Raw genomic sequence first — 13,529 nt, forward strand, 5'->3', positions numbered from 1 at the left:
AAGATAAAGGGGCTAGATGAAGGGTCTTTGCTCTATATCCCTTGTGGTAGGTGAAATAATGGCCCCCCAAAATCACCAGGTCCTAATCCATGGAAACTGTGACTGTTAAATGGAAAAGGGCCTCTGTAGATGTGATACATTAAGGTTCTTGAGATGAGGAGATTATTCCGGATTATCTGAATAGGTCCTATATGTAATTACAGGTGCCCTTATAAGAGGGAGATTTGAATACCGGCAGAAGAGAAGGCTATGAGACAGCAGAAGAGTGGACAGATTCAGAGAGACAAGATGGTACGCCATAGGCTTTGACTGTGGAGGAAGAGCTCTCAGGGCAAGGAATATAGCGGCCTCTAGGAGCTGGAAAAGGGAAGGAAACAGATTCTCCCAAGAGCTGCCTGAGGGAGTGTGGCCTTGCCACGCCTTCAGCCTGGCAAAACCCACTTTGGACTCTGGCCTCCAGAACTGTAAAAGAACACATTTGACATGTTTTAGGTCACCAAGTTTGTAATTTGTTACAGCAGCAATGGGGCACAAATAAGCTTTCACAAGCACCGTTTATTTACCCCTACACAGCATTTAGCACAGCGTAACATTTTTACTAAGCTGTCAATCTTGAGGGCAGGAATTATGTGCTTTTCATGTTTGTATCTCCTGTGCCTAGCATACTGCTCTTAAAAATTTATTAAGTAAATGAATGAATTTATTAATGTGATTCAGACTAGAGGATGCCCTCCAAAATTCTCATTTTTTTCCTGTCTATTAAGATTCTTTGGTTTTTGGTCAAAGCCCTTTAACTGGATATATGGGGGACTTATTTTTTTGGCTGAAGATCTTGGAGTCTTCAGCTCCACAGCAATCTGATCCCTTCCTCTTTCCTCCAGTCAGTCACTGGGTTCCATCATTCTACCTTTCCAGTGCCTTCTTCTTTCCATCCTCTCTGCCTCTATCCTGGTTTCATCACCTCTCACCTGGATAGCACCGTGGCCTCTAAACTGGTTCCCCTCACACTGTAATCCATCCTTCATCTTGCTGTCAGAGCACTTTTCTATAACCAAAATAGATCATGTTATTCCCCCAACCCCAGAAAAAAAAAATGCTCATTGGCTCCTTGTGGGCAACATCAGTGTCAGTTCCTCAGCATGGTGTCCAAGCCCCTACTGATCGAACATTTCTAGGCTCATGTTCTCTTCTGTAGACCCCACAAACAGCCACAGCCCCATCCCTCACTTGCCAATTCCTGCTCTGTCATTCCCTCCCCATCTCTTTGCCTTTGTTCCCGTTCTTCCTTCAGCTCAGGCTGTTCATTTCCTCTCTTGAAACCTATTGAAATCTTTCCATGCTGGGACGGGTCAGCTCAAAAGCTACTTGTCAGGCAATACAATGGAGCAAAGGTAGTCTTTTTTACAAATGGTGCTGGAACAACTGAACATCCACATACAAAAAAGTGAATCTAGACACAGAGCCTACACCCTTCGCAAAAATAACTCAAAATGGATCATAGACCTAAATGTAAAAAGAAAAACTCTAAAACTCATAGAAAATAACATAGCAGAAAATCTAGACAGTGTTAGCTATGGCGATCACTTTATTTATTTTTTTTGAGATGGAGGCTCACTCTGTTGCCCAGGTTGGAGTGCAGTGGTGCAATCTCGGCTCACTGCAACCTCCACCTCCCAGGTTCAAGTGATTCTCGTGCCTCACCCTCCCTGAGTAGCTGGAATTACAGGCGCTCACCACCACCCCCGGCTATTTTTTGTATTTTTAGTAGAGATGGGGTTTCACCATGTTGGCCAGGCTGGTCTTGAACTCCTCAGCTCAGGTGATCCACCGGCCTTGGCCTCCCAAAGTGCTGGGATTACAGGAGTGAGCCATCGTGCCTGGCCAGCAATCACTTTTAAAATACAACACCAAAGGCACAATCCATGAAAGAAATAATTGATAAGTGGGACTTTAAAATTAAAAACTTCTGTTCTGCGAAAGACAATGTCAAGAGAATGAGAAGACAGGCCACAGAATGGGAGAGAACATTTGCAAAAGACACATCTTTTAAAGCGTTAGTATCAAAAATATATAAAGAGCTCTTAAAACTCAGTAATAAGAAAACAATTTAAAAATGGGTTAAAGACCTTAACAGACAGATCACCAAAGAAAGCACACAGATGCAAATAAGCAAATGAAAAGATGCCCCACATCATATGTCATCAGGGAAATTCCAATTAAAACAAGATGCCACTACACACCAATTTGAGTGGTCAAAATCTAGAACACTGACAACAGCAAATGATGGTGAAGACGTGGAGCAACAGGAACTTTCATTCATTGATTGTAGTAATACAAAATTGTGCAGCCACTTTGAAAGAGAGTTTGGCAATTGTATACAAAACTAAATATACTCTTGCCATATGATCCAGCAATTATGCTCCTTGCAATTTATTTAAAGGAGTTGAAAACATACCCACACAAGCATGCACATGGACACATGGATGTTTACAACAGCTTTCCTTTTTTAAAAAAATTATTTAAAAATTTTTATCTATTTATTTATTTACTTTGAGACCCAGTTATAAGACTGGGTAATTTTTGTATTTTTAGTAGAGATGGGGTTTTGCCACATTGTTCAGGCTGGTCTGAAACTCCTGGCTCCAGCTATTTGCCTGCTTTGGCCTCCCAAAGTGCTGGGATTATAGGTGTGTGCCACCATGCCCAGCCAACAGCTTTCTTTATAATTGACAAAATTTGGAAGCAACCAAGATGTCCTTTAGTAGATGAACAGATGAATGAACTGTGGTACATGCAGGGAATGGAGTATTATTCAGCACTAAAAAGGAATGAGCTATCGAGCAATAAAGAGACATGGAGGAAATGTAAACGTGTGTTACTAAGTGAAAGAAGCCAATCCAAAAAGGTTACCTGCTGTGGTTCCAACTAGATGACATTCTGGAAAAGGCAAAACCGTGAGGGAAGTAAAAGGATTCATGGTTGTCATGGGGTTGGGTGGAGAGAGGGATGAGTAGGCAGAGCACAGAAGGTTTTTAGGGCAATGAAGATACTCTGTAAGATACTATATTGAGGGATACATGTCATTACACATTTTACCAAACCCATAGAATGAATTCCAGTGTAAACTATGTTTACATATGTTCCAACATTTCAGTGTAATGCAGTCCAATTCCAAAGTATTCATTGCATGCATGAATTCCAATGTAAACTATGAACTTTGGGTAATGATGTGTTAGTATAGGTTTTTATCCATTGTAATACATGTACCATCCTGCTGGGGGCTGTTGACAATGCGGGAGGCTATGCATGTGTAGGGGCAGTAGGTACATGGAAAATCTCCATAACTTCCTCTTAATTTTGCTGTGAACCAAAAACTGCTCTAAAGAAGTAAAGTCTTGGGGGGAAAAAAAGGCACTTGTCTACAGCTTTCCCACTCTCACCCAGTCAGAATTTCTCCTTCCTCTGGGAGCGTGACCTGGGTGCCTCTATTTCTTGGCTTTTATTAATACTCAGCCTTGAAATGTAGCTGGCTTGTCAACCTCACTAGACTATTAGTTCCTAAGAACAAGAACCAAGTATTATTCGTACTGGCCCAGCATTGTGCTTTGCTCATAGCAGAGGATCAATAGATGTTTATTGAATGAATCAATCTGCCCCACAGCAAGGTCCCTCTTAGTCTATCACATAAAAATTCCATTTGTGTTTTACATTTTAAGGTCAGTTATTATAATATAAGGTTATAATAAGAGTTAAGAGATTGCATAAGAGCCTGAACAATGATGCTGTTTTCTACCATTATGGCATAACCTGAAAATATGTGCAAATAAAGGTAGAGATACCAGCAAATATGAATGAATAATAAGGAAAGGAAATCAATAGTTTTGAATCATATTATTACTTTGTCTTTTGTTGTTACCAGTCTACATTCCCAATCTATGAGTAGTGAATGAGATGAATTAGCGCTAGCTTATTTCTTAATTGTGGAATTTGCTGGAAGGCCATAGTGGAATCTTTCTCTCAGAATTATGCAGGCTAGAATGAGATGCCAAAACCTCATTTTAAATAGATTCCAGTAAAATAAAACAAATTTATTGCATTATAATAAAATATATCACATTAAAGAAATTGTTTTTGCTGATATACTTGTTCTATTTATCTATATAATAAAAGAATATATTTTTGTGAAATGTTTTGAATCAGTGTAAAACTGTTCACTTTCCCTCAATCTGTTTCACAGTCAGCATCTCTAGCGAAGTACCAGGAGAGAAGATGGGAGAGGCCACAGCCACAGGAAGCAGTGACTTGGTGTTGATTAGACTAGATTAAATATAACTCAGTGGAACTCTGCTTTGCTCTTCCCCACCCCTTTTCCATTTGGTGGGGCTAGTGAGCGGAGGCGTGAGGAATGGTGGTGGAAGGAGCATAATTCGATTTCTTTTTTTTTTTTTTTAATTTTAATTTTTTTTATTGATCATTCTTGGGTGTTTCTCGCAGAGGGGGATTTGGCAGGGTCGTAGGACAATAGTGGAGGGAAGGTCGGCAGATAAACAAGTGAACAAAGGTCTCTGGTTTTCCTAGGCAGAGGACCCTGCGGCCTTCCGCAGTGTTTGTGTCCCTGGGTACTTGAGATTAGGGAGTGGTGATGATTCTTAACGAGCATGCTGCCTTCAAGCATCTGTTTAACAAAGCACATCTTGCACCGCCCTTAATCCATTTAACCCTGAGTGGATACAGCACACGTTTCAGAGAGCACAGGGTTGGGGGTAAGGTCACCGATCAACAGGATCCCAAGGCAGAAGAATTTATCTTAGTACAGAACAAAATGAAAAGTCTCCCATGTCTACTACTTTCTACACAGACACGGCAACCATCCGATTTCTCAATCTTTTCCCCACCTTTCCCCGCTTTCTATTCCACAAAACCGCCATTGTCATCCCGGCCCGTTCTCAATGAGCTGTTGGGTACACCTCCCAGACGGGGTGGTGGCCAGGCAGAGGGTCTCCTCACTTCCCAGTAGGGGCGGCCGGGCAGAGGTGCCCCTCACCTCCCGGACGGGGCGGCTGGCCGGGCAGGGGGCTGACCCCCCCACTTCCCTCCCGGATGGAGCGGCTGGCCGGGCAGAGGGGCGCCTCACTTCCTAGTAGGGGCGGCCGGGCAGAGGCGCCCCTCACCTCCCGGACGGGGCGGCTGGCCGGGCGGGGGGCTGACCCCCCCACCTCCCTCCCGGATGGGGCGCCTTTCTTTATGGGCCCATGAGGCCTCTTTTTGCTTCTTCCCTGTTTTACTAACACAAACAAATTAAGCTGAATAACAAAAGCTAATAAGCAAGGAGAAGGGTTTTGAATAGTGGTTGTGCATTCTAGAGGCTTTAGTTAAAATTTTTAGGTTTTTTTTTTTTAAAGAACACTGACTTATTTTTACTGTTTAAAATATTTTTTTGAATGGCCAATGGACATACATGGGATGCCACACAGATTGCTTTCTCCTTCGTCTGTCTAGCCATCTATTTTTTTTTCCCCAGAAGCAACCATGTTCACTGCTTTTTTGGGTGTAAATCCAGGGATATTCTGTGTTTTTAAGCAAAAAGCCAGTTTTATTATATCCATCTGTGAAAAAAAATCTTTTCTACACAAATAGCAGTATTTTTTTACATCTATTGATCTTACCTTGCTTTGTTCAACTGTGTGTGTGTATGTGATCCTGGAGATTTTCCATGTCAGTGCATAAAATAGCAGCCTCATTCTGGCTAAATATAGTATTTTACTATATAATTGGAGCCTAATTTACTTAACTAGTCCTCTGTTGAGCATTTGGAATGCTTCTAATCTCTTGCTATTATGCAGAGGATTGCAATGAATATCCTTGTACCTATATTATTTCCCACATATGTGAGTATAGTAGTAGGATATATTCCTAAAAGAATCACTTAATTAGTCAAAAGGCACATGTATTTCTTTTTGGATGGACATTGCCAAAGACCCATTCACACTCAAAAGCAATGTGTAATATTGCCTGTTTTCCACATCTTTCCAATTCTCTTGTCTCTCTCTTTCTCTTTTAACACGTAGAGCTGTGCTGTATCAGAAAATTATAAGAGTATCAATACGTCCAAGTTAGCTTGTAAGAAAAGGTGTTTTTAAGTATCATTTGCATATAGATAGGTAGAGAAAAATACAGTGAAGAAAATTAGAATCTGTTTCCTTGATCTCAATACTGCCTGAAGAAACATTCCAAAGTAGCATTCAAGCAGAGTGCCTGCATATAGATGGTGCTCAGTAAATATTTGTAGAATGACTCCTGTGGCTCTATTGACTTTTGATAAATTCTTGGAGAGGTATAGTCAAATGACCTAACTTAAAGCCTCATAGTGGTAACAAGATTTTACATTTAAATTATATTTATCTCTGGGATTCATTTTAATATATGCATCTTTTAAGAATTATTCAGCTTAATTGGTTATTTGGCTAACCACTTGTAGGTTGTATGGGAAAAATAAATGCAGAAAACATACTATTAAAAGCAAATTTGTTCTTTAAAGAAGAATTCTGGCCAGGCACCATGGCTCATGCCTGTAATCCCAGCACTTTGGGAGGTCGAGGCGGGCGGATCACTTGAGGTCAGGAGTTCGAGACCAGCCTGGCCAACATGGTGAAACTCTGTCTCCACTAAAAATAAAAACATTAGCCAGGTGTGGTGGTGCACACTTGTAATCCTAGCTTCTTGGGAGGCTAAGGCAGGAGGATTTCTTGAACCCAGAAGGCAGAGGTTGCAGTGAGCTGAGATTGCGCCACTGCACTCCAGTCTGTGTGACAGACTGAAACTCACTCTCTCTCTCAAAAATAAATAAATAAATAAATAAATAGATAAATAAAAGAAGAATTCTAAAACTAAGTTTAGAAAATTTTCCTTCCCCAACATTTATTTTAAATTTGGAGATATATGTGCATGTTTGCTACCTGAGTATGTTGCATCATTCTGAGGTTTGGGGTATGAATGATACCGTCCCCCACATACTGAGCAAAGGACCCAACAGTTAGTTTTTCAACTCTTGTCCCTCTCCTTCCCTCCCACCTCTAGTTGTTTCAATTTCTATTGTTGCAATCTTTATGTCTCTGAGTAGGCAATATTTAGCTCCCACTTATAAGTGAGAACATGTGGTATTTGGGTTTCTGTTCCTGCATTAATTTGCTTAGGATAATGGCCTCCAACCTAATCCATGTTGCTGCAAAGGACATGATTTCATTCTTTTTTATGACTGCATAATATTCCATGGTATATATGTATCACATTTTTAAAATCCAGTTCACTGTTGATGGGCATCTAGGTTGACTCCTTGGTATTGTGAATAGTGCTTCAATGAACACGCGAGCGCATGTGTCTTTTGGGTAAAACCATTTGTTTTCTTTTGGCTCTATATCCAATAATGGGATTGCTGGGTCAAATGCTAGTTCTAAGTTCTTTGAGAAATCTCAGAACTGCTTTCCACAGTGGCTGAACTAATTTACATTCCCACCACCAGTGTATTAGCATTCCTTTTACACTGCAGCCTTGCCAGCATCTGTTATTTTTATTATTATTTTTTAATAGCCATTTTGATTGGTGTGAGATCGTATCTCATTGTAGTTTTGATTTACATTACTCTGATGATTAGTGATATGGAGCATTTTTTCATATGTTTGTTGGCTGCTTATATATTTTCTTTTGAGAAATGTAGAAATGTCTGTTCATATCTTTTGCCCATTTTTAAATGAGGTTATTTGGTTTTTGCTTGTCGAGTTAAGTTCCTTATAGATTCTAGATATTAGACCTTTGTCAGATACATAGTTTATGAATATTTTCTCTCACTTTGTAGATTGTCTGTTTACTGTATTGATAGTTTCTTTTGCTGTGCAAAAGCTCTTTAATCAGGTCCCAATTGTCAATTTTTGTTTTTGTTGCAATTGCTTTTGAGGACTTAGTCACAAATTCTATCCCACAGCCCATGTCCAGAATGGTGTTTCCTAGGTTTTCTTCTAGAATTTTTATAGTTTGAGGCCTTACATTTAAATACTTAATCCAACTTAATTTTTGTATATGGTGACAGGTAGAGGTCCAGTTTCATTCTTCTGCATATGGCTAGCCAGCTATCTCAGCATCATTTATTGAATACGGAGTCCTATCCCCATTGCTTATTTCTGTCGACTTTGTTGAAGATCAGATGGCTGTAGGTGTGTGGCTTTATTCTGGGTTCTCTATTTTGTTCCATTGGTTGATACATCTGTTTTTGTACCAGTACCATGCTGTTTTGGTTACTGTAGCCTCATAGTATAGTTTGAAGTCAGGTAATGTGAAGGCTCCAGCTTTGTTCTTTTTGCTTAGGATTGCTGTGGCTAATCAGGCTCCTTTTGGGTTCCATATGAATTTTAGAATAGTTTTTTCTAAATCTGTGAAAAATGATGTTGGTATTTTGATAGGAATAGCATGGAATCTGTAGACAGCTTTGGGCAGTATGGCCATTTTAATATTATTAATTTTTCTAATCCATGAGCATGGAATATTTTTCCATTTGTTTGTGTCATGTAAGATTTCTTTTAGCAGTGTTTTGTAGTTCTCCTTGCAGAGATCTTTCACTTTCTTGATGTATTCTGGTAGTTTTATTTTATTTTGTCTATTGTAAATGGAATTGCTTGATTTGGCTCTCAGCTTGAATGTTATTGGTGTATAGAAATGCTACTGATTTTTGTGCATCAATTTTCTATCTTGAAACTTAACTGAAGTCGTTTATCAGTTCCAGGATGCTTTTGGTAGAGTCTTTAGAGTTTTCTAGGTATAGAATCACATTATTTGTAAAGAGAGCTAGTTTAACTTCTTTTTCTATTTGGATGCCTTTTATTTCTTTCTCTTGCCTGCTTGCTCTGGCTAGCACTTCCAGTACTATGTTGAATAGGAGTGGTGAGATGGGCATTCCTGTTTTGTTCCAGTTCACAAGGGGAATGCTTCTAGTTTTTCCCGTTCAGTATGATGTTGGCCCTGGGTTTGTCATAGATGGCTAGTTTCTGGAGGATTTTTATCATGAGGGGATGCTGGATTTTATTAAAAGCTTTTCCCATGTCTATTGAGATACACAGATGGTTTTAATTCTGTTTATGTGGTGAATCACATTTATTGATTTGTATATGTTAAACCAAACTTGCATCCCACGAATGAAGCCTACTTGATGATGATGAATTAACTTTTTAATGTGCTGCTGGGTTTTGTTTGCTAGTATTTTGTTAAGGATTTTTGCATCTATGTTCATCAGGGATATTGGCCTGTAGTTTTCTTTTTTCATTGTGTCTCTGCCAGAATTTGGTATCAGGGTGATGCTGGCTTCATAGAGTAAGTTAGGGAGGAATCCTACCTCCTTAATTTTTTGGAATAGTTTCAGTAGAATTGGTACCAGCTCTTCTTCTGGCAGAATGTAGCTGTGGATTCATCTGGTCTGAGGCTTGTTTTTTTTTTTTTTTTTTTGGTAGGTTTTTAATTACTGCTTCAAGTTTGGAATTCCGTATTGGTCTGTTCAGGGTTTCAGTTTCTTACTGATTCAATCTTGGGAGAGTGTGTATTTCTAGGACTTTATCCACTTCCTCTAGATTTTCTAGTTTGTGTGCATAGAGGTGCTCATTATAGTCTCTGAGGATCTTTTGTATTTCTGTGAGATCACTTGTAATGTCACTTCTGTTGTTTCTGATTGTACTTATTTGGATCATCTTTTGTTTGTTTGTTTGTTAATCTAGCTAGCAGTCTATCAATATGGTTTATCCTATCAAGGAATCAATTTTTTGTTTTGCTTGTTGTTTGTATGAATTTTTGGGTCTCAATTTCATTGAGTTCTGCTCTAATTTTAGATTTTTAATTTCGTCTGATAGCTTTGAAGTTAGTTTTGTCTTGTTTTTCTAGTTGCTGTAGGTGTTATGTTAGATCATTAATTTGGGCTTTCTAACTTTTTAAGGTAGGCATTTAGCACTATAAACTTTCCTCTTAACACTGCCTTTGCTGCATCCCAGAGATTTTGTATGTTCTATTCCTGTTTTCATTTATTTTTAAGAATTTTGTGATTTCTGTGTTAATTTTGTTGTTTACCCAAAAATCATTCAAGAACAAGTTGGTTAATTTCCATGTGACTGTGTGGTTGAGAAAACATTTGAAAGAAGGAAAAACAACACTAGTCCTCGAATTCTGGCATTTTAGTATATGTTTCCTCAGTCTTTTCACTCCCTATGTTTATAGTAATGTGTATGTATCATACACACATATCTGTCACGTATAAATATAGATTCATCATTACGTATTTTACAGAATTAAAACCAGTGAAAAAATAATTACATTGCCAGCATTAGGCTCAATAATATACATTCTTTTATTATTTTAAAACAAACTTTTTATCAAGTTTTGTGGCTTCCTAAAACTTTACCAGCTGAATATATATTAATTTATTTAAACATTGCCTTGTTCAACATTTGGGTCACTCTTCTCACTATAAATGACATTATGGTCAGCATCTTTTTCTGTTTCTTTATAATGTATTTTCAAAACAGAATGTTTAGAACGAAGGGTACAAACAGGCTCAAGGTTCTGCCTCGAGTCTCTTCTCTGTTCACTGTTGACGTGTACCTGGGCAATCCAATCTTCCTGCAAAGCTTCAATCACTCCCTTTGTGCTGAGGACCCACAAGTCTATATGTTTAGGCTAGACCTTTTATAATACTCCAGATCTATATATATTTACCATTGTCTATCTTCCCCTCCATTCCCACAAGCACCTCAAATCCACTGCTCACAACTGGACTCATGTTTTTCACCGGATTCTGACCTCCTACTAGCTGCCAAATCTTGGTAAGTAGTGCTTGTATCCACCAGGTACTCTAACCAGAAACAGAGTCATCCTGGATACCTCCCTTTCCCTCTGCTTCTCTGTCTTGCTGGTGTCTTAATAAGTGCTGCTTCCACATTCCTTGCGGTTTCTCTTCATCTGCTTTATTGCATCATGGCTTATGGTCCTGCTGTAGTTTCCTAACCAGTCCTTTGGTTGACACTGTTGATACTCAAGGATCAGTTGTTTTCTTCCAGCTTTAAAACCTGTAAGGGCGACCGGGCACGGCGGCTTATGCCTGTAATACCAGGACTTCTGGAGGCCGAGGGGGGCAAATCACTTGAGGTCAAGAATTCGAGACCAGCCTGGCCAACAGGGTGAAAACCCATCTCTATTAAAAATACAAAAATTAAGCCTGGGCGACAAGAGCGAAACCCCGTCTAAAAAAAAAAAAAAAAAAAAAATTAGCCAGGTGTGGTGGCAGGCTCCTGTAATCCCAGCTACTTGGGAGGCTGAGGCAGGAGAATCGCTTGAACCCGGGAGGTGGAGGTTGCAGTGAGCCAAGATCATGCCACTGCACTCCAGCCTGGGCGACAGAACGGGACACCATCTCAAACAAACAAACAAATAACCCCAAAAAACAATCTGTAAGGGCTCCCAATTATCTTGTGTTTGTCAAACATTTCCACTAAAATACCCCTAACAGGCAATGCCAACATAGACTGTTAGTTAAGAACACCTTTGAAATCCTTGTTTTATCTTAAAAATTCACATGAACTCTAAGGTTTATTTGATTATATGTTTGGGTTTATCCTCACATAAAATAATTCAGCTTCCAAAATCTTTCAGTGAAATTGATGTGCCCTGGCTGGGCACACCTGTAATCCCAGCACTTTGGGAGGCTGAAGTGGGCAGATCACCTGAGGTCAGGAGTTCGAGACCAGCCTGGCCAACATGGAGAAACCCTGTCTCTACTAAAAATACTAAAAAATACCAGTGGGTGTGGTGGCAGGGGCCTGTAATCCCAGCTACTCGGGAGGCTGAGGCAGGAGAATCGCTTGAACCTGGGAGGTGAAAGTTGCAGTGATCCGAGATCGCGTCATTGCACCTGGGCGACAAGAGCGAGACTCTGTCTCAAAAATAAAATAAAATAAAATAAAATAAAATAAAATAAAATAAAATAATAATAATAAGAAAAAGAAATTCATGTGCCCTGTAAGTGGGCAATAACCTTTTATGACTTTCTCTGTGACATAACCCCACTTGCAAACACACCAGTTTGAATAACATGGCTTCTAGAATAAAATCTGCACAGCTCAGCGTGGCATGGAACCTCAGCATGTACTGTATCTCTGGGTCCTCACTTCTCACTACTGCTTCCTGTCATCCTTCATCAGAGCCATACAGGGCCTCTTGCTGTCCTCACCACATTCCATCCTGTTGACATGCCACATATTTTCTTCAGGTCTCCACCTGTGTCCCTTACCTAGAATGCCCTCTTGACCCTGCATCCTTTGCTTTATTCACCTTCTGCCCTACAGTTTAGTCTACCCTGGTGTCAAATACATTCTTAATTTTCAAATCTGCCCTTCTCTCCTCTATGAAGACTTTTCTGACTTTACCAAGTGTGAATACATGTGTGCGTATTTATATCTATCTATTTCTATTATAGTTTCTGTGATGGTTAATTTTATGTGTCAATTTGGCTAGGCCACAGCACCTATATAATATTTGGTCAAACATTACTCTTAATGTTTTGTGAGGGTATTTCTGGATGAGATTAACATTTAAATCAGTGGGCTTTGGGTAAGGCAGATTACCCTCCATAAAGTGGGTGGGCCTCATCCAATCAGTTAAAGCCCTGAATAGAACAAAAAGAGGCTGGGCATGGTTGCTCACACCTGTAATCCCAGCACTGTGGGAAGCTGAAGCAGGGAGATCACCTGAGGTCAGGAGTTTGAGACCAGCCTGGTCAACATGGTGAAACCCTGTCTCTACTAAAAATACGAAAATTAGCTGGACGTGGTGGTGCATGCCTGTAATTCTAGCTACTTGGGATGCTGAGGCAGGAGAAGCACTTGAACCCAGGAGGCAGAGGTTGCAATGAGGTGAGATTGCACCACTGCACTCCAGCCTGGGTGACAGAGTGAGACTGTCTCAAAAAAAAGAAAAGAAAGAAATGACCAGCCCCACCCCTCCTGCTCTTCTCTTTAGCAAGAGTGAATTCTGCCTTCAGACTTGAACTGCAACGTGGGCACATCCCTGGGTTTCCAGCCTGCTGGCCTACCCTGTAGATTTTGGACTTGCCAACCTCTGTAATTGTGTGAACCAATGCCTTAAACACGCTGTCTCTCTCTATACATCCAATTGGTTCTGTTTATCTCTTTTCCCTTCTCCACTCCCTCTTTCTCTCTCTTTTTTTCCCCTTCCCTTCACTCATTCTAATCTCAGTGATTTGAAACTCCATGAAGACAGGGAATCTGTGGCATCTGTCTCTGCTTCCCAAGTACCTAGCTCACAATGTGGCAGATAGAAGGCATTCATTTCATATTTTTGAATAAATGGAGGAATGGATCATGTTTCCTTTTTTTTTTTTCTTTTTTTTTTCTGAGGCAGAGTCTCACTCTATCACCCAGGCTGGAGCATGATCTTGGCTCACTGCAACGTCCACTCCCAACAGGTTCAAGCAATTCTCCCAC

General features: G+C 40.0%; 1 protein-coding gene and 1 long non-coding RNA gene across 3 annotated transcripts in view; one reads left to right on the forward strand and one right to left on the reverse strand.

The window, feature by feature from the left end:
- ARFGEF1-DT (ARFGEF1 divergent transcript) overlaps positions 1 to 13,529 on the forward strand; it is a 148,035-nt gene that overhangs the window by 112,781 nt on the left and 21,725 nt on the right. The window contains exon 3 of the long non-coding RNA NR_136224.1: positions 10,778 to 10,853. This is a non-coding gene — a long non-coding RNA (ARFGEF1 divergent transcript). The remainder of the gene's footprint in view (positions 1 to 10,777; positions 10,854 to 13,529) is intronic.
- Positions 1 to 13,529, reverse strand: part of CPA6 (carboxypeptidase A6) — a 324,323-nt gene that overhangs the window by 34,577 nt on the left and 276,217 nt on the right. The gene's annotated exons all lie outside the window — the stretch shown is intronic.

This window comes from Homo sapiens, chromosome 8, assembly GCF_000001405.40.
Source record: "Homo sapiens chromosome 8, GRCh38.p14 Primary Assembly".
Classification (NCBI taxonomy): Eukaryota; Metazoa; Chordata; class Mammalia; order Primates; family Hominidae; genus Homo; species Homo sapiens.